Genomic DNA, 20,732 nt, shown 5'->3' with positions numbered 1-20,732 from the left:
AACATTGCTGGCCACCCCCATCTCATTTTTGAAATTACTTATTCCTTTGGGGTCCATGGTACTGCTCTTGCTAAGTTCTGCATTTACCTACTTACTCTATTCATTCCTTCTCGGTTGGATTCCCTTAAACTTCTTCCCTGGCTAAATGCTTTGACTTCAGCTTTTCCTCAGGATGCAATTATTGGTTTCCTCTTATATTCTACATACTCTCTTTAGAGGAACTCACCTACATTTATAACTGAATACCACCAACAAGGGGTTTTGCTATCAGCCATGATAACCTAGCATGTTTCAGATAAACCCTCCAACCACAAAGAAAACATAATCAACATCTGTTTGCAGGCATCAGAAAGATACTTAGACATTGGATACTTATGGGGTGAAAATTTTGGAGAGAATAAAATTCAGGGAGGTGGAGTCTCACCTCTGATATGTGTCTCCTCTTCATGAATTCCTTACCCAAATGAATAGCAAACATGTCCACCGAGCTGCACAAGATGGAAAATTTGGGCCATTCTAGCTGCTTCTTTTCTCTTATAGCTGTCATTCAAAGAATTACCAAACTCTGTTCATTCTACATGCTAAAGATCTCTCCACCTGTTCCTTCCTCTACGTTTCCTCCCACGCTACCCTAGATCAAGGCCTCATGATTTTAAACACTCTTGAATAGCTTGAAAGACACTTCCTATTTGGACTACCTGCTTCCAAGCTCATCTGACAGGTAATCCAGCCTCCATATGCCACCAGAATTATTTTACTAAAACACTAACCTAACCATATCACTCCACTGCCTAAATTGCTTTGAGGGCTCCACTTAATCTGAAAAATAAAACACAATAACGAAGGCTTTGACTCCAAATGCCGTTCTGTCTTATCTTCTACCCTATTCAATGTACAGTCAGGCCTGAACAACATATTAGGAGTTCCTCAAAACACCCAGACTCTTCTCCAGTGTCACGCCATGAACTTTGTGTTTCCTCTGCCTGAAAAACCCTCCACCCCTCCCGCAATGCTTTCCCCATTTGGGAAAATAAGTAAGATGCCGACTTTACAAGTTACATCAAACTAAATTCAAAGGAATAAAAGATTTAAAATCAAATCTTTGGCGGAACTCACCTACATTTATAACTGAATACCACCAACAAGGGGGTATTCAGAAAGAATTATTATAAAGAAAAACAAAACCATAAAAGTACTGGCAGAAAACATACGTGAATAATTTTTGTTTCCTTTAAAGGAGCGGTTAACAAACCTAAAGGCCAAATTCAGCCTTCAGGCTACATTTGTAAATAAAGTTTCATTGGAATGTAGCCATGCTGATCTATTTACAGGTGTCTGTGTGTGCTTTTACACTGCAACAGCTGTGTTGAGTAGTTGAGACTATATGGCCAGCAAAGCCTAAAATATTTATTATCCATCCCTTTACAGAAAAAGTTTACTGATTCCCCAAACTAAAGGATGTTTTAAAGGACAGATATTATTAAAATGAAAAGATGGAAATTTCCAAATACATAATACTTAGAAACTTAGAAACTCTAATTACACAAAATTGAAAGTCAATTAACAAACTGGAACCATATTTGAAATAGGTATGACAGAAAAAATGTTAGTATTGGTGATATATTAAAAGCTCTCAACAATGAGGAAAAGATCTACATCCAAATAGGAAAATTGATAAATGGCTTCAGTAGCTAACTGAGAAATTAAAAAGTATAAATGGTCAATAGATACATGACAATATTTTCTACCTTGTTAGCAGTCAAAGGAAGACAAATAAAAGAAATTACTATTTCATGATTTACCTGAAAAATTGGCAAATATATTTTTTTAAAACAGTAATACCCTGCATTGGCAAAGGTTCAAAGAAAACGGGTCCTCTTCAAAGATATAATGGGAACAAAAGTTTGATACACACTTCTTGGAAGAAATTTCACTTTTAGAAAATTGGTACAAAAGCTACTTCCAACTAAAAAAGCTTAACATTCAGAAAATGTTATTCTAGCAATAGACAGTCTAAAATATATCTTGTATGATGGTAATAACGTATTGGGTTTAAAACCTACTTTTTTCAGGAGAAACGTGTGACTTTGATTGTCCCCGTACAAGCCTGCAGGTGGAGCCATCGCCGGCACAGACTCCACAGTTGTCCTCCTTGGCATTGCTTCCCAGTTGCCGATCGCAGCCCACTGCCTGCCAACAGAAGCATGGCAGTCAGTGGTGCCCAAAGCCAGGGGAGGGGGAGCTCTCTTCATTTCAGGAAGCTTAGTTGTGATGTAATCCTTAACTTTACAGTTTGGCTCTCTTTTATGAGAACATAGTTTTATAAATCTAAATAATATAATGTCTTACAGGATAGTATCATTTATATGATTCTAATGTAAGGCCGAAATATTAATATTAAGATTTGAAGCTGTCCCTCCATACCCCTCCCTTTTCTATTTATATTTTTATTCAGATTTCTGTCTTTTTTTTTTTTCAAGACAAGATCTCACTCTGTTGCCCAGGTTGGAGTGCAATAGTGGGATTGTGGCTCACTGCAGCCTCAACCTCCTGGGCTCAAGTGATCCTCCCACCTCAGCCTCCCAAGTAGCTGGGATCACTTGAGCCTGGGAGGTTGAGTCACAGGCCTGTGCCCCAACACCCAGCTTTTTAAAATTTGATGTAAAGACAGGGTCTCCCTATGCTGCCCAGGCTGGTCTTGAATTCCTGGGCTCAAGTGATCCTCCTGCCTTGGCCTTCCAAAGTGCTGGGATTACAGGCATGTACCACACTGCCCAGCCCAGGCATTTTTATATATATAAAATAAACAGAACATTACAGACGTTTCCTCTCTCCCCAGCCCTACACTTATCCTATTCTCTCATTTCCTCCCCAAAACAACCACTGTCCTAAATTTGATGTATAACCTTCTGGTTCATAGTTTTACTTTAAATATCTTTTTTTTTTCTGTTTTTACTTCTATCTCTAAATATCTATATCCCTATATTAATATCTGTCTATAGTCTTTATCTATATCTTTATATCTCCTTGTCTTTATCATTAGCTGTACCTATGCCTATGTATCTCCACCGCTGTCATTATACCTATATATTTATAAACAATTTTTAAAATATAAAAAATAATTAAAAGGAGAGATGTCTCATATAAAATACGTGTTTATACTGCTATCCTTCCTTCTCTTGTCATTTTTCATGTGTACATATGTGTGTGTATTTGCTATATTATAAGCTTCCTTATATGAGAAAAAAGGTCATGTCTTATATTTCTTTTTTATTTCTTAAGCATATATTTTACATAATGTGTAAACAACAATAATATCAACTGATCTGATGGTTTATCTCTTCCTTCCTTCCCATATTCATCTAACTTTATTTATAAATCTGGTGTTTAAGTGCAGGGACTTTGGAGGAAGAAAACACCCACGTACAAACCTGGATCCACTCACCACCCTTTCAAGCTGCAGGATGTTGAAAAATTCAAACTCTCAGAGACTCGTTTTCCTCAACAGTAAAATAGAGATAATAATACCAATATATACTTCACATAGGGCCTAGTGATGATTCAGTGAGAAAATATATGTAAAATTCTTAGTATAATGATTCAAACACTATAAAGGATTCAATAAAAAAGGGCCAATGTTATTATTTCTCTGTGTTTTTCATCTTATTTTGACTCCTGGGTAGCCCTCATGCTTCAGCTTGGAGAGTTGTTGAATCAGACTCTATATCCAAGCTGTTGAAGAAGAAATGAAACTAGAGGAAGTTGAGACAATTATTTATAACAATTCTTTCCAACATTTTGGTGTTGAAGGGAAAGAGAAAGATCAAGTGAAAATTTCAGGGAGAGATAGTAAGTTTCAAGGAAGTTTAGAGAATAGCTTATGATTAGAGATATTTTCAAATTCACAAAGAGCTATCATGAGGAAAGGGTCTACTTTTGTTCTGTATATTTCCAAATGGTGAAAGCTACAGGTTTAAGCATAATTTGGTTCAATATGAGAAAGTTTGAAAAGTCAGAGTTATCTAATAATAAGTATTCAATCATAGTCTAGGAGATCTCTTGGTGGAAAAATTGTAGGGGGGATTAAATTATTGGATGAGTAGCTTAATCCAATGACTTTTGAGATCCTTTAATCCTGATTATATGATTTTATAAAGATAGTAATACAATATTAATAATTGCTGATTTTTATTGAATGCTTAGCATGTACCTGGCATTATGCCATGAATATTGTACACATTATTTCATTTAATCTTCAGAGCAATTTTGTCATGAGGTGATACCTTTAACTCTATTTTATAAATAAGGAATCTAAACATTACTGAGTAAATGATTTGCCAATATTACACAGCTAGTATATAGTGTTGGTAATGGTTTTAAAACCCAAGTTATCTGACTCAGAATCTTAACACTACATTACAACTTCCTCTACCTTAAGTATCAGCAGATAGACAACAACAACAAAAGCCCAGTTACACAGGCCATTAAATTAACATTTACAAGTACATGTGGAACAACTTAAGAGTGATTGATTTTGGAAACACACTTGCATGGTCAAGATTCAATCAATGAGTAACTTGTGTTCATGCAACTTTCTCCAAGGGGAGTAATACCACTATTAAATTATAGAAACACTGCTCCTGGGCCAAACTCTGTCCTCACACATTCATGTCCCTGAGCACTCTGCATTTCATGAGAATGAGAATCACTCTCTATCTGGTCATCCAGGAAGGGCGTGGGCTTAGGAGCTAGGAGGGGCTTGTTTTGAAGAGTGTTTAAGGCCTTGCAAGATCTCAGGCAATTGAATACCTCCCTGAGCACTGATATTTGCTTCATAATTTTTTTTAAGTTACAATTCATCCAAATGTTATAGCAAAATAAAGCATGTGAAAACATCACAGAAAAATGATATTTGAAAAGAAAGTCTTGCCTTGTGATTCATAACGAATAAGCCAGAAATGCCTTTGAAATTGAGGGGCCACTGAATTTTGGCTTTCATATCCCATCATAATCAACAATAAGCAACTTTTTTTTTTTTTTTTTTTGAGACAGAGTCTTGCTCTGCCGCCCAAGCTGGAGTGCAGTGGTGCAATCTCAGCTCACTGCAAGCTCTGCCTCCTGGGTTCACGCCATTTTCCTGCCTCAGCCTCCCGAGTAGCTGGGACTACAGCTACCCGCCACCATGCCCGGCTAATTTTTTGTATTTTCAGTAGAGACAGGGTTTCACTGTGTTAGCCAGGATGGTCTCGATCTCCTGATCTCGTGATCTGCCCGCCTTGGCCTCCCAAAGTGCTGGGATTACAAGCGTGAACCACAGCGCCCGGCCCAACAATAAGCAACTTCTAAAAAATTGCCTGAAGTGTTTCCAACTTCTATGACATCATCTGAAGTCATGATCTCTAATTATAGTGATTTATTAACTACTAATTGACAGATATATCAATAAAATTTATTAACATCTATTAAATAACCATTTTCTATACTGCCAGACACTACAGAGCATAAATTAATAACATAAGATTCTTACCTTACAGTGTAGTTAATGAGACAAGTTACACAAGATAGTGGATGACATAAACAAATATTTAAAATATATGAGTAGTGCTTTTTGGAATAAATATTCATCTATAAATCATCACTTCAGCTAAAAATTATTTCACAGTTCCTGCATATGATTTCCTAATCAGCTAAAAGATGATAATACTTAAATAAGTGGCACTAGTCCAAATGAAGCAAAATATGAATTTTTCAGAGCAGTCAAATTTAATCATTCAAGAACAAAACAATTTTTTTTTTAAATCAACCGTTTGAAATCTCTGCAAATCAGAATCTAACTTGGGGGAAAAATCTGACATTTCTGCCTTAAAAATCAGAGTATATGGAGCTGTGGTAGTCAGTGGGGATACTCAGAAACATTTTGCTTCAGCCCACAGAAGGTCTGCACTTCTCCACCCCCTTTGAAGTTAGGTGTGGTCATTAACTAACTTTGGCCAATGAAATATGAGTCTAAGTGATTGATCTGTGTCACTTCTATAAGAAGATTTAAGGGTCAGTGTCTGAGTCTCATGTTCCCCTTGCACTATTGCAGTTATTATGTAAAAAATGTGTCCAAATAAAGCCTGAGTCTCCGAGACGTTCTAAGAGCTGAGGCTCCTGTCAACCACTGTTGGGCAAGTGGCATCAGCAAGAAGTAACCTTTAATTGTTTTAAGCTACTGAGCTTTGGGTGTTGTTGGTTACTGCAGGAAAACCCAGCCTATACTATACAGGACTATAATTTAACCATTAATGGATAAAGCACGGTTATTAACAGGAAGACGATTTTTAAAATTGGAAGTTTCACATTAAAATCCAGTTTTCTGGCTTCTCTTGACAAAAACAAAAACAAAACAAAACAAAACTTCCGACATGTTTATACATAGTTGCTCCCTTCACAATGAGCATGTATCCTCCAGTTCACCACTACAGTCACCAGCCAATGTGACTACATCTGGGCAGTTTCTCTCTGGGGCAGTATGTAGACATCTGAGTTTTAATCCCCGTACTAAGCCATCTAAGCATGAATCATCTGTTGAACTGACTGTTCTTTACCGAATTATATCTCATTTTCAGTTACAAACTTCAGCTACACTTGTACCAATATAAAAAGTATCATCAGTATAGCCCAATAATTAAGAAATTGGATTCTGGAATTAGGTTGCCTGGGTTCAAATTCCAGCTCTATCACTTCCTAGCTATGTGCTATAGACTGAATGTGTCCACACCCAAAATTCATATGCAGAGACCTAACCCTCAAGTTGATGGTACTAGGAGGTGAAACATTTAGGGGGTGGTTAGGTCATGAGGGTAGAGACCTCATGAATAGGATTAGTACCCTTATAAAAAATACCCTGGATACCTCCCTCATCCCTTCTGCCATGTGAGGACACAGCCTCTATGAACCAGGAGGCAGGGAGCAGACCCTCACCAGACACTGAATCTGCCAGCACTTTGATTTTGGACTTCCCAGCCTCTAGAACTGTAAAAAATAAATTTCTGTTGTTAATATGCCACCCAATCTATGGTAGCTAGTGACAGCTGCCCAAACTGACTAAGATACTGTACAACTTGGGCAATTTACTTAGCCTCTTCAATTTCCAGTTTCCTTATCAACAAAGTGGGGAATAAATACTGTACCTACTTGATAGGATTATGATGAGCTAACAGTAAAGGACTTCCACAATGCCTGATACCTGGGCTAAGCACCCAGTGTTAGTTGCTATTATTTTTATTTTTATTCTAAATTCTAAGTGGTTTCTTCATCTGCACAGCTATCAGGGAATTCAATAAACATGAATGACAAATCAAACTTGGTCTGCAGAGCTGGTACCAACCAGGTCGTGCCTCTAATACAAATCAGACCTCCAAAGCAGAAGCAAATTTCATTCAGTGAGCACCACTGTCTCAGGCTGTCTGCTGTGCTCAGGTTAATGGAAAGTTGTTCCCAAGAGCACTGTGACATGTTCATTTAAATGAGAAAACTATACAGACATTTACAAGACTTATGTGTAGTCTATGCCAAGTAGTCATTATGGCTCACATCAGTGATCCTGGGGCAAGCAGAAAGAATCACCAGGAAGCAGGAAGTAGGCCCTCACCAGACACTGAATCTGCCTAACTGATGCCCATGGCCACGTGGCACAAGAAAGGCAATTTATGTGAACATTATCCTGCTGAAGGAAAGATACTGAATTCTACCAAGAAGTGTCTAAGTCACTTCCGAGGAAGAACACATAATTATTTAATTCAAATCACCTAGCCAAAAGAGCATCCAGCTTTCAGCAACCAGGGTATCACTCCTCATCACCCAAAGAACTGGCTTACTCAGTAGCATCACAAAAACGTGATTAGAAGCACTCATTTAAAATGCACTAATTCATACTGAAACCACCTTTATCCTGCAAGCCCCTTTAAACCCTGGAAACTCCTGGAGTCAACTAAGCAACTGGATTTAGACCATTAATAAGAACAGGGGGTGGCGAGTAGTGAGCAGAAGGGTAAATGTGGGAAGGGGAGCTCATGTTGACTGCAGGCAAATAAAAGCTCATGTTGACTGCAGGCAAAAAAAGATGCCTTTGCTTTATATTTCACTCAATTGAGGCCATCAAACAATATCTCACCTTCCTGTCCATTCCCATACCAAACTGATCAGTGGCCCATATTTACCCCTTCCTACCTGCCTCAAGGGAAAAGGTGTCCCTCCTCCTTGTCCACGAGCAATCTGTCTCCTTTGTTTCTGTTATCAACTCCTTTGAAGAGCCCAGGAACTTCACTGCATTCATTGTATATTTCTACCTCTCAGTCAATACTCCACTCACCCACCTGCCTGGCAACATATATCCTTGCGCATTCATGGATTTACCATGAAGTTAATGAAGCTTAAGTTTCAGGGTCAACCACTCTCTCCTTTTCCCTCTGTCTTGCCCACCTGCTGTTCCCAGTCTGGGCTCCCACAAATGCTTAGAGTTGTGGGGAATTGAAGTATTTGAGGTGGGGAGGGGAAGCTGGGCTGCAACTGGGAAGGATTTCTACGGAAGAATCTGCCATAAATTAGCCAGTGGTGGCACACCTGTAGTCCCAGCTACTCAAGAGGTTGAGATGGGAGAATCACTTGAGCCCAGGAGGTCAAGGCTGCAATGAGCCATGATAGCACCACTGCACTCCAGCCTGGGTGAGAGAGACTTTGTCTCAAAAGTTAATAAATAAAGAGGGCACTTCTAATTACATATGCTTCAGGTACCCTAAAAACTGCATCTGCTCCAGTGCTTTTCCAAGTATCTCTGATCTTGAAGACATTCTTCCTGAACCTGACATCCCCTCTGGCTGTAGTTGTATCTTTCCCTCTATTCTTCTGATTCATACTTTTTGAAAAGGGGGTTTATGCTCATCATCCCTACTCATTTCAGCCTATTCATTCCTTACCATGTGTAGTGGGTTGACTTGTGCACTCCCCCCAAAAAAAGACATGGCACCCAGATCCTGTGAATGTGACCATATGTGGAAAAATATCTTTGCAAATGTAATTAAGGATGTTGAGATGAAATAATAGGAAGGTGTCCTTATGAAAGGAGGGGAAAACATAGAGATAGACAAGAGGAGGTAAGGTGCAGACGAAGGCAGAGATTAGAGTGATGCTTCCACAAGCAAGGAACACCAAAAATCATTGGCACAAAAATCTGTCCCCTTTGTTTCTGCCTATCAACTCTTTTGATTAGCCCAAACTTTACTTCATTAGTTGTATATTTCTACATCTAAATCAATACTCCACCCACCCACCCACTTGGCAACATATATTCTTGTTCATTCGTGGATTTACCAGAAAGTTAATGAAGCTTAAGTTTTAAAGTCACCCACCCTCCTCTTTTCCCTCCATCCTGCCCACCTGCTGCTCCCAGTCTGGCCTCCTGCAAATGGGCTCTTTCTAAAGACAAGCCCAAATTCCAGCACCAGAAGCTGGAAGAGAGGCAAGGAATGGATTCTCCCTCAGAGCCTCCAGCCAAGAACCAACCCTGCTGATACCCTGATTTTAAACTTCTGGCCTCTAGAAGTGTGAGAAAATAAACTTCTGTTGTTTTAAGCCACCAAATTTGTGGTAATTTGTCACAGCTGCCACAGGAAACTAATGCATCCTGCATCCCCTGCCAGTGCCTACTCCAACACCACACTGAGGCTGTGCCAGCTGTTGCCAGTGATCTTTAGTCAAAATGAAGTGGGTGGATTTCAGTTCTTACTGCTCTTGACTTCTCTGAAGTATGTGCCACTGCTAACCGGCCTTCTTAAATGCTCACCCGCCCTTATCTTCCGTTTTTCATGGTCTCGCTACTATATAGAAAGCTATTCTGTTCAGTCCCCATCAGGGGCACCTCTCCCTGTGCTAGTTCCTTCAATTATGGGCACCAGGACTCTGTACTTGAGAGTACAACCTGTCCTTCTTACTCAGTCCCCAATGACATTAGATCATTAGATTTAACCATGTGAGAGCCCCAGATCTATATTTCTAGTCTAGATTTCTCTCCTAAGCTCTAAATTCAAACATCAACTTAGATTGACAGGCACGCCCAGCTCATCACCTTTGCCCCATGCCCCCTGTTCTCACCCAATATTTTGTCTTGATGAATGGTCTCACTATCTATCTACTTAATCATGATATCAGAAATCTAAATATCATTCTCTCACTCCCCACATCCAACCAAACATTCAGCCGTAAAAGATCTGTTTCCTCTCCATCCCAAATCAACAGAATATACATTCTTCTCAGCACCATATCACACTTATTACAAAATTGACCACATAGCTGGAAGTAAAGCACTCTTCAGCAAATGTAAAAGAACAGAAATGATAACAAACTGTCTCTCAGACCACAGTGCAATCAAACTAGAACTCAAGATTAAGAAACTCACTCAAAACCACTCAACTACATGGAAACTGAACAACCTGCTCCTGAATGACTACTGGGTACATAAGGAAATGAAGGCAGAAATAAAGATGTTCTTTGAAACCTATGAGAACAAAGACACAACATACCAGAATCTCTGGGACACATTTAAAGCAGTGTGTAGAGGGAAATTTATAGCACTAAATGCCCACAAGAGAAAGCAGGAAAGATCTAAAATTGATACCCTAACATCACAATTAAAAGAACTAGAGAAGCAAGAGCAAGCACATTCAAAAGCTAGCAGAAGGCAAGAAATAACTAAGATCAGAGCAGAACTGAAGGAGATAGAGACATAAAAAAACCTTCAAAAAATCAAAGAATCCAGGAGCTGGTTTTTTGAAAAGATCAACAAAATTGATAGACTGCTAGCAAGACTAATAAAGAAGAAAAGAGAGAAGAATCAAATAGGCGCAATAAAAAATGATAAAGGGGATATCACCACCGATCCCACAGAAATACAAACTACCATCAGGGAATACTATAAACAGCTCTACGCAAATAAACTAGAAAATCTAGAAGAAATGGATAAATTCCTGGACACATACACCCTCCCAAGACTAAACCAGGAAGAAGTTGAATCTCTGAATAGACCAATAACAGGCTCTGAAATTGAGGCAATAATTAATAGCCTACCAACCAAAAAAAGTCCAGGACCAGATGGATTCACAGCCGAATTCTTCCAGAGGTACAAGGAGGAGCTGGTACCATTCCTTCTGAAACTATTCCAATCAATAGAAAAAGAGGGAATCCTCCCTAACTCATTTTATGAGGCCAGCATCATCCTGATACCAAAGCCTGGAAGAGACACAACCAAAAAAGAGAATTTTAGACCAATATCCCTGATGAACATCGATGCAGAAATCCTCAATAAAATTCTGGCAAACCAAATCCAGCAGCACATCAAAAAACTTATCCACCATGATCAAGTGGGCTTCATCCCTGCTATGCAAGGCTGGTTCAACATATGAAAATCAATAAACGTAATCCAGCATATAAACAGAAACAAAGACAAAAACCATATGATTATCTCAATAGATGCAGAAAAGGCCTTTGACAAAATTAAACAACCTTCATGCTAAAAACTCTCAATAAATTAGGTATTGATGGGATGTATTTCAAAATAATAAGAGCTATCTATGACAAACCCACAGCCAATATCATACTGAATGGGCAAAAACTGGAAGCATTCCCTTTGAAAACTGGCACAAGACAGGGATGCCCTCTCTCACCACTCCTATTCAACATAGTGTTGGAAGTTCTGGCCAGGGCAATCACGCAGGAGAAAGAAATAAAGGGTATTCAATTAGGAAAAGAGGAAGTCAAATTGTCCCTGTCTGCAGATGACATGATTGTATATTTAGAAAACCCCATCGTCTCAGCCCAAAATCTCCTTAAGCTGATAGGCAACTTCAGTGAAGTCTCAGGATACAAAATCAATGTGCAAAAATCACAAGCATTCTTATACACCAATAACAGACTAACAGAGAGCCAAATCATGAGTGAACTCCCATTCACCATTGCTTCAAAGAGAATAAAATACCTAGGAATCCAACTTACAAGGGATGTGAAGGACCTCTTCAAGGAGAACTACAAACCACTGCTCAACGAAATAAAAGAGGACACAACAAATGGGAGAACATTCCATGCTCATGGATAGGAAGAATCAATATCGTGAAAATGGCCATACTGCCCAAGGTAATTTATAGATTCAATGCCATCCCCATCAAGCCACCAATCTTCTTCACAGAATTTCTTCACAGAATTGGAAAAACTACTTTAAAGTTCATATGGAACCAAAAAAGAGCCTGCATTGCCAAGACAATCCTAACCCAAAAGAACAAAGCTGGAGGCATCACGTTACCTGACTTCAAACTATACTACAAGGCTACAGTAACCAAAGCAGCATGGTACTGGTACCAAAACAGAGATATAGACCAATGGGACAGAACAGAGCCCTCAGAAATAATACCACACATCTACAACCATCTGATCTTTGACAAACCTGACAAAAACAAGCAATGGGGAAAGGATTCTCTATTTAATAAATGGTGCTGGCAAAAATAAAAATGACTAGCCATATGTAGAAAGCTGAAACTGGATCCCTTCCTTGCACCTTATACAAAAATTAATTCAAGATGGATTAAAGACTTAAATGTTAGACCTAAAACCATAAAAACCCTAGAAGAAAACCTAGGCAATACCATTCAGGACATAGGCATGGGTAAGGACTTCATGTCCAAAACACCAAAAGCAATGGCAACAAAAGCCAAACTTGACAAATGGGATCTAACTAAACTAAAGAGCTTCTGCACAGCAAAAGAAACTACCATCAGAGTGAACAGGCAACCTATAGAATGGGAGAAAATTTTCGCAATCTACTCGTCTGACAAAGGGCTAATATCCAGAATCTACAAAGAACTCAAAACAAATTTACAAGAAAAAAACAAACAACCCAGTCAAAAAGTGGGCAAAGGATATAAACAGACACTTCTCAAAAGAAGACATTTATACAGCCAACAGACACATGAAAAAATGCTCATCATCACTGGCCATCAGAGAAATGAAATCAAAACCACAATGAGATACCATCTCACACCAGTTAGAATGGCGATCATTAAAAAGTCAGGAAACAACAGGTGCTGGAGAGGATGTGGAGAAATAGGAACACTTTTACACTGTTGGTGGAACTGTAAACTGGTTCAACCATTGTGGAAGTCAGTGTGGCAATTCCTCAGGGATCTAGAACTAGAAATACCATTTGACCCAGCCATCCTATTACTGGGTATATACCCAAAGGATTATAAATCATGCTGCTATAAAGACACAGGCACACGTATGTTTATTACGGCACTATTCACAAAAGCAAAGACTTGGAACAAACCCAAATGTCCATCAATGATAGACTGGATTAAGAAAATGTGGCACATATACACCATGGAATACTATGCAGCCATAAAAAAGGATGAGTTCATGTCCTTTGTAGGGACATGGATGAAGCTGGAAACCATCATTCTCAGCAAACTATCGCAAGGACGAAAAACCAAACACCGCATGTTCTCACTCATAGGTGGGAACTGAACAATGAGAACACTTGGACACAGGAAGGGGAACATCACACACCGGGTCCTGTTGTGGGGTGGGGGGAGGGGGGAGGGATAGCATTAGGAGATATACCTAATGTAAATGACGAGTTAATGGGTGCAGCATTCCAACATGGCACATGTATACATATGTAACAAACCTGCACGTTGTTCACATGTACCCTAGAACTTAAAGTATAATTTTTTTAAAAGTCCTATAAAAAAAGAAATAAAAAATTGTACCTGTGCTATAAAGCATGGTTTGATAAAAATTAAAAAAAAAAAAAAAAGATCTGCTTCCAGGGCCAGGCTCAGTGGCTCATGTCTATAACCCCAGTGTTGTGAGGGGCCAAGGTAGGAAAGTTGCTTGAAGCCAGGACTTGGAGATCAGCCTGGGCAACATAGTGAGACCTGATCTCTACAAAAAATGTAAAAAATAAAAATTATCCTAGCATGGTGGAACATTACTGTAGTCCCAGCTACTTAGGGGTGGAGTGCAGACTAGGTTGGGAGGATTACTTGAGCCCAGGAGCCCAAGGCTACAGTGAGCTGTAACCACACCATTACACTCCAGCCTGGACAACAAAGCAAGACCCTGTCTCAAAAAAAAAATACATCCTTAATCTTTAGAATTTGTCTCCATTTAATTCATCCTACCTCTTGCCTTATTTTAAGCTCTTGTTATCCCATACTTGACCTTCTACTGTTTGGCTAGATCCTGTCCTCTGCAAATAATCTGCCACTTTGCCACTGAAATGACCTTTCTAAAGACAAGCCCAAATTCTTTATAAAATTATGAAACAGCTCCTCTCTCTACTTTCAGAATAAGTTAATGATTGGTTTCCCACCTCCACTGGTAGCCTCATCTCCTAGCACTATTCCATGGGTATTCTCACCTCAACTCTACAGAATGCACTCCTGGACCTTAAACACATCTGCACCTGCTGTTACATTCCTGTCCCTTCTGCTTGTCATTCTCTTCCTCACCTTGGTTTATCTAACTTTTACTCAACTTTTCAAAACCTCAGTGTCCAAACATCACCTTATCCAGAGAGCGCTCCTTGAGGCCAGACTAAATTCCTTTTATTTATTTATATTTTTATTTTTTAGAAACAGGGTCTCACCCTATCATAGGCTGGAGTACAGTGGTACAATCATAGTTCAGTGCAGCCTCGACTACCTGGACTCAAGCGAATCCTTGCCTCAGGTACCTGAGTAGCAAGTAGCTAGGACCATAGGCTTGCGCCAACACACCCAGCTAATTTTTAAAAAGTTTTTGTAGAAACGAGGTTTCCCCATGTTGCCCAGGCTGGTCTCGAACTCCTAGGCTTAACGAACTCTCCTGTCTTGGCCTCCCAAAGTGTTGTGATTATAGGCAGAAGCCAATGCGCCCAACCTAAATTGCTTTTAATAACAATTCATTTTAATTATAAAAACAATGCATGATCATTGTCAAGAACTTGGAAAACAACAGCATAATCCCACTGAGAAGGATTACTATTATCATTTGGTCAAAGAGCCCAAACCTTAACTGATGGCAATAATGGGGAACAATAGACGGTTTATAAAATGGAAGAATTATATGGTAAGCTTTGACCTTTTGTCAAAAGTCTACTTTTGGTTGCCAAAAGTAGAAAGCAACCAAAGTGTCCTTCAGCAGGTGAATGGATAAACTGTGGTACATCCAGACAAGGGAATATTATTCAGTGTGAAAAGGAAATGAGCTATTGTGCTCACTTTGGCAGCACATATTCTAAAATTGGTATGATACAATTTTATGATACAATGCTAATGATACAGAGATGATTAGCATGGCCCCTGCGCCAAGATGACATGCAAATTTGTGAAACATTCCATTAATTTAATTTTTTATCTTAAATTTTTTAAATTAAAAAAAGGAAATGAGCTATCAAGCCATGAAAAGACACTGAGGAAACTTAAATGTATAATATATTATTACATGAAAGAATCCAATCCGAAAAGGCTACATACTATATGATTCCAACTCTGTGACATTCCGGAAAAGGCAAAAACTATGGAGACAGTAAAAAGATCCATGGTTGCCAGGGGTTAGCGAGGAGAGAGGGATGAAAGAGCAAAGCATAGAGGATTTTTAGGTCAGTGAAACTACTCTGCATTATACTATAATAGTGGATACATGTCATTATACATTTGTCCAAACTCATAGAATTTACAACACCAAGAGTGAGGCCTAATGTAAACTATGAACTTTGGGTGATTATGATGTGTCAGTGTAGGTTCATCGACTGTAATAACTGTATCACTTTAGTGGGGAATGTTGATAGTAGGGGAGGCTGTGCGTTTAAGGAAGCAGGGGGGTCCTATGGGAAAATTCCACCTTCCACTAAATTTTGTTGTGAATCTAAAATTGCTCTAAAAAATGGAGTCAGGCCAGGTATGGTGGTTCAAGCCTGTAATGCCAGTATTTTGGGAGGCTCAAGGCCAGCTGAGTAACATAGCGAGACCCCCATCTCTACAAAAATCAAGCAAAAAACTGGCTGAGCGTGATGGCACATGCCTTTAGTCCCAGCTACGTGGGAGGCTGAGGCAGGAGGATCGATTGAGCCCAGGAGGATGAGTCTGCAATGAGGCATGATCATGTTGCTGTATTCCAACCTGGGTGACAGATGAGACCCTGTCTCTTTAAAAAAAAAAAGAAAAAGAAAAAAAGAAAGAAGGAAGAAAGAAGAAAGAAGAGGAAGAAGAAGGAGAAGGAGGAGGAGGAGGAGGAGAAGAAGAAGAAGAAGAAGAAGAAGAAGAAGAAGAAGAAGAAGAAGAAGAAGAAGAAGAAGAAGAAGAAGAAGAAGAAGAGGAAGAAGAAGAAGGAAATGGAGTCTGTTTTAAAAGGGCAGGGAGGTGGATAGTGTAGGAAGAGCCTAAAGGAGATAGACAAGAATCCTCAATTTCATCATTAATGCAAGGACAAGCCATTGAAGGGCTTTGAGGAATGCAAGAATGACAAGCTCTGAATTACCTTTTAACATAATCACTTTGGCTGCTGTGTGAAGAACAGACTGGAGGGAATCATGGTGGGAGCTCGGAGAACAGAACAGAAAGCTGTTAATGCAGTTTAGATTAGCTAATAAGGACTTAGGCTACAAGAAAGGCAGTAAAGATGGAAAGACGTGCTAAATTAAAAGTAATCTTTGGGAGGGAAAATTGACAGGACGTGGCAATGGATCAAATGTGTGGGTTGAAAGAAAAGCAAGAATGATGTCAAAGTTTTGGGATAAGCAACTAGAAGCCATTTTCTAGATAAAGGGATGAACAAAGTTGAAGCTAGTTTGAAAAGCAGGATGAAGGTTCACCTTTGAGCACTTTAAGTCTGAAGCTCCTGGTAGTGCCCCACACTTAGCAGGTGGTCAGGTTGCTCATCTGCTGTTGTTACTATTGTTTTTGTTATGAGCAGAATAGGGTAGGTGAAATACTAGACACATTCATTATTTTTTAAAAATATTTTTCAGCTCTCCCTCTCCCTCCCCCTCCCCCTCACCCTCTCCCTCACCCTCTCCCTCTCCCCACGGTCTCCCTCTGATGCCAAGCCAAAGCTGGACTGTACTGCTGCCATCTCGGCTCACTGCAACCTCCCTGCCTCATTCTCCTGCCTCAGCCTGCCGAGTGCCTGCAATTTGCAGGCGCGCGCCGCCACGCCTGACTGGTTTTCGTATTTTTTTGGTGGAGACGGGGTTTCGCTGTGTTGGCCGGGCTGGTCTCCAGCTCCTAACCGCGAGTGATCCGCCAGCCTCCGCCTCCCGAGGTGCCGGGATTGCAGACGGAGTCTGCTTCACTCAGTGCTCAATGGTGCCCAGGCTGGAGTGCAGTGGCGTGATCTCGGCTCGCTACAACCTCCACCTCCCAGCCGCCTGCCTTGGCCTCCCAAAGTGCCGAGATTGCAGCCTCTGCCCGGCCGCCACCCCATCTGGGAAGTGAGGAGCGTCTCTGCCTGGCCGCCCATCGTCTGGGACGTGAGGAGCCCCTCTGCCTGGCTGCCCAGTCTGGAAAGTGAGGAGCGTCTCTGCCCGGCCGCCATCCCATCTAGGAAGTGAGGAGTGCCTCTTCCCGGCCACCATCCCATCTAGGAAGTGAGGAGCGTCTCTGCCCGGCCGCCCATCGTCTGAGATGTGGGGAGCGCCTCTGCCCCGCCGCCCCGTCTGGGATGTGAGGAGCGCCTCTACCCGGCCGCAACCCCGTCTGGGAGGTGAGGAGCGTCTCTGCCCGGCCGCCCCGTCTGAGAAGTGAGGAGACCCTCCGCCTGGCAACCGCCCCGTCTGAGAAGTGAGGAGACCCTCCGCCCGGCAACCGCCCCGTCTGAGAAGTGAGGAGACCCTCCGCCCGGCAGCCGCCCCGTCTGAGAAGTGAGGAGCCCCTCCGCCCGGCAGCCGCCCCGTCTGAGAAGTGAGGAGCCCCTCCGCCCGGCAGCCGCCCCGTCTGAGAAGTGAGGAGCCCCTCCGCCCAGCAGCCACCCCGTCTGGGAAGTGAGGAGCGTCTCCGCCCGGCAGCCACCCCGTCCGGGAGGGAGGTGGGGGTCAGCCCCCGCCAGGCCAGCCGCCCCGTCTGGGAGGGAGGTGGGGGGGTCAGCCCCCCGCCCGGCCAGGCGCCCCGTCCGGGAGGTGAGGGGTGCCTCTGCCCGGCCGCCCCTACTGGGAAGTGAGGAGCCCCTCTGCCCGGCCAGCCACCCCGTCCGGGAGGGAGGTGGGGGAGGTCAGCAACCCGCCCGGCCAGCAGCCCCGTCCGGGAGGTGAGGGGCGCCTCTGCCCGGCCGCCCCTACTGGGAAGTGAGGAGCCCCTCTGCCCGGCCAGCCGCCCCATCCGGGAGGGAGTTGGGGGGGTCAGCCCCCAGCCCGGCCAGCCGCCCCGTCCGGGAGGTGAGGGGCGCCTCTGCCCGGCCGCCCCTACTGGGAAGTGAGGAGCCCCTCTGCCCGGCCACCACCCCGTCTGGGAGGTGTACCCAACAGCTCATTGAGAACGGGCCATGACGACAACGGCGGTTTTGTGGAATAGAAAGTGGGGAAAGGTGGGGAAAAGATTGAGAAATCGGATGGTTGCCGTGTCTGTGTAGAAAGAGGTAGACATGGGAGACTTTTCATTTTGTTCTGTACTAAGAAAAATTCTTCTGCCTTGGGATCCTGTTGATCTGTGACCTTACCCCCAACCCTGTGCTCTCTGAAACATGTGCTGTGTCCACTCAGGGTTAAATGGATTAAGGGCGGTGCAAGACGTGCTTTGTTAAACAGATGCTTGAAGGCAGCATGCTCGTTAAGAGTCATCACCACTCCCTAATCTCAAGTACCCAGGGACACAAACACTGCGGAAGGCCGCAGGGTCCTCTGCCTAGGAAAACCAGAGACCTTTGTTCACTTGTTTATCTGCTGACCTTCCCTCCACTATTGTCCTATGACCCTGCCAAATCCCCCTCTGCGAGAAACACCCAAGAATGATCAATTAAAAAAAAAAAGAAACTCAGGGAGACAGACAGTAAGTGAAAGGAAAGAATAAAATAACCTCTGCTCACATTTGGAAAAAAAAAAATATTTTTCAGAAGTCAAAAGAATAGATGCAGAATCCTATAATTTCCCTGCCATCCCTGTCTCACAACCTGTCATAGTGTCTTTTTAATTTTTTTTTTTCTTTTTGAGACAGTCTCGCTCTGTCACTCAGACTGGAGTGCAGTGGCGTGATCTTGGCTCACTGCAATCTCCACCTCCTGGGTTCAAGTGATTCTCCCGCCTCAGCCTCCCTAGTAGCTGGAATTACAGGCACACACCATCACACCCAGTTAATTTTTGTATTTTTAGTGGAGATGGGGTTTCACCATGTTGCCAGGCTGGTCTTGATCTCCTGACCTCAAGTGATCCACCCACCTCGGCCTCCCAAAGTGCTGGGATTACAGGGTGAGCCTCCATACCCGGCCTAAAGTGTCTTGAATCCTTATACTCATTAAAAGCCACTGGGGTTTATGTCTCAGTCACATTTGTCACAGCTCTGCAGAGACCACTCTGAAAAATCTGCTGGAATGCATTCATGTTAGTTTTCAGTAAATAAATCATTGTGCCCAAAGATCCAAAACAATGAATTAATTTTAATAAGAAAGCTTAATTTAATAAGAGACTCTCTAGTATTACTCTTCCAAAACAGCGGTTCTCAAAGTGTATTCCCCAGACCCACAGCTTCAGTATCTCCAGAGAACTTGTTAGAAATGCAAATCTTTGGGCCCCATCCCTTTTACCTACTGAATCAGAAACTCCGGGGGATGAGCCCAACACTCTGTTATCACAAGCCCTCCAGGTGACTCTGATGCTTGTTCAAGTTAGAGAATCACTAATCGATGGCCCGGCGCGGTGGCTCATGCCTGTAATCCCAGCACTTTGAGAGGCTGAGGCAGGCGAATCACCTGAGATCAGGAGTTTGAGATCAGCCTGGCCAACATAATGAAACCTCATCTATACTAAAAATACAAAATTGGGATACAAATACAATTTGTATTTGTATTTGCTGTATAAAAATACAAAACTGGGATTATAGGTGTAAGCCACCGTACCTGGCCAATAGCAATATTTACATCTGCATGAACAAAAATACAGAAGAAAAGGGTTCTGTTTATTGACAGTAGGCGTGGCACATCCCCAAAGCAGGGGATTGGGAGGTAAGTGTGCTTACCTGACAGATGCCACTGATACACATGTCCAAGGAGTCCGTGTTGCAACGAGTTCCATCCAGTACCTTAGGTGCCAGCTCCACCACCAAGTTTTGTCCTTGTGCATGACACTTGAGTGCACACGGGGCAGCAGGATCATTATATCGTGGAAGCCATTCATAGTAATGCCCCTGATACTGGACATCATTGTAGGCTGAGCACTGCTGGGCTCTGAAATCTTCTGCATCTGGAGGGCAGTCCTGGGGGCAGAGGGAAAAGGCCACATGCACATCACCCAGTGAGAGAGGCCAAGAGAAGATGAAATAAGTTCACCAGAATCTCATGAGACCACACCTCACTTGCCTCTCTCTGGGAGTCACCTAATTCCCTCTTTTTTTTTTTTTTTTTTGATTCAACGTTGAATGTATGCTATGAAATTCCACAGAGATCACTGCAATAATTATTTATACAGGAGATTATCTCATTATTCTGATCATTCACCCACCCAGGTATTTTTTCCAGAT

The 20,732-nt window shown here is 42.0% G+C and overlaps 1 protein-coding gene and 1 pseudogene across 12 annotated transcripts in view; one reads left to right on the top strand and one right to left on the bottom strand.

Moving 5' to 3' along the window:
• ADAMTSL3 (ADAMTS like 3) overlaps positions 1-20,732 on the bottom strand; it is a 385,720-nt gene that overhangs the window by 199,564 nt on the left and 165,424 nt on the right. For all 12 annotated transcript variants that reach the window (XM_011521823.3, XM_017022434.2, XM_011521822.3 and 9 more), the window contains exons 6-7: positions 20,232-20,468; positions 2,064-2,190 (exon numbers count right to left, since the gene is read on the bottom strand). In XM_011521823.3, the coding sequence (XP_011520125.1) occupies positions 2,064-2,190; positions 20,232-20,468 (364 nt within the window). The remainder of the gene's footprint in view (positions 1-2,063; positions 2,191-20,231; positions 20,469-20,732) is intronic.
• On the top strand, positions 15,326-15,416 carry RNU6-1339P (RNA, U6 small nuclear 1339, pseudogene; annotated as a pseudogene).

This window comes from Homo sapiens, chromosome 15 (genome assembly GCF_000001405.40).
Source record: "Homo sapiens chromosome 15, GRCh38.p14 Primary Assembly".
Classification (NCBI taxonomy): domain Eukaryota; kingdom Metazoa; phylum Chordata; class Mammalia; order Primates; family Hominidae; genus Homo; species Homo sapiens.
This window is presented reverse-complemented; position numbering and strand designations above follow the sequence as displayed.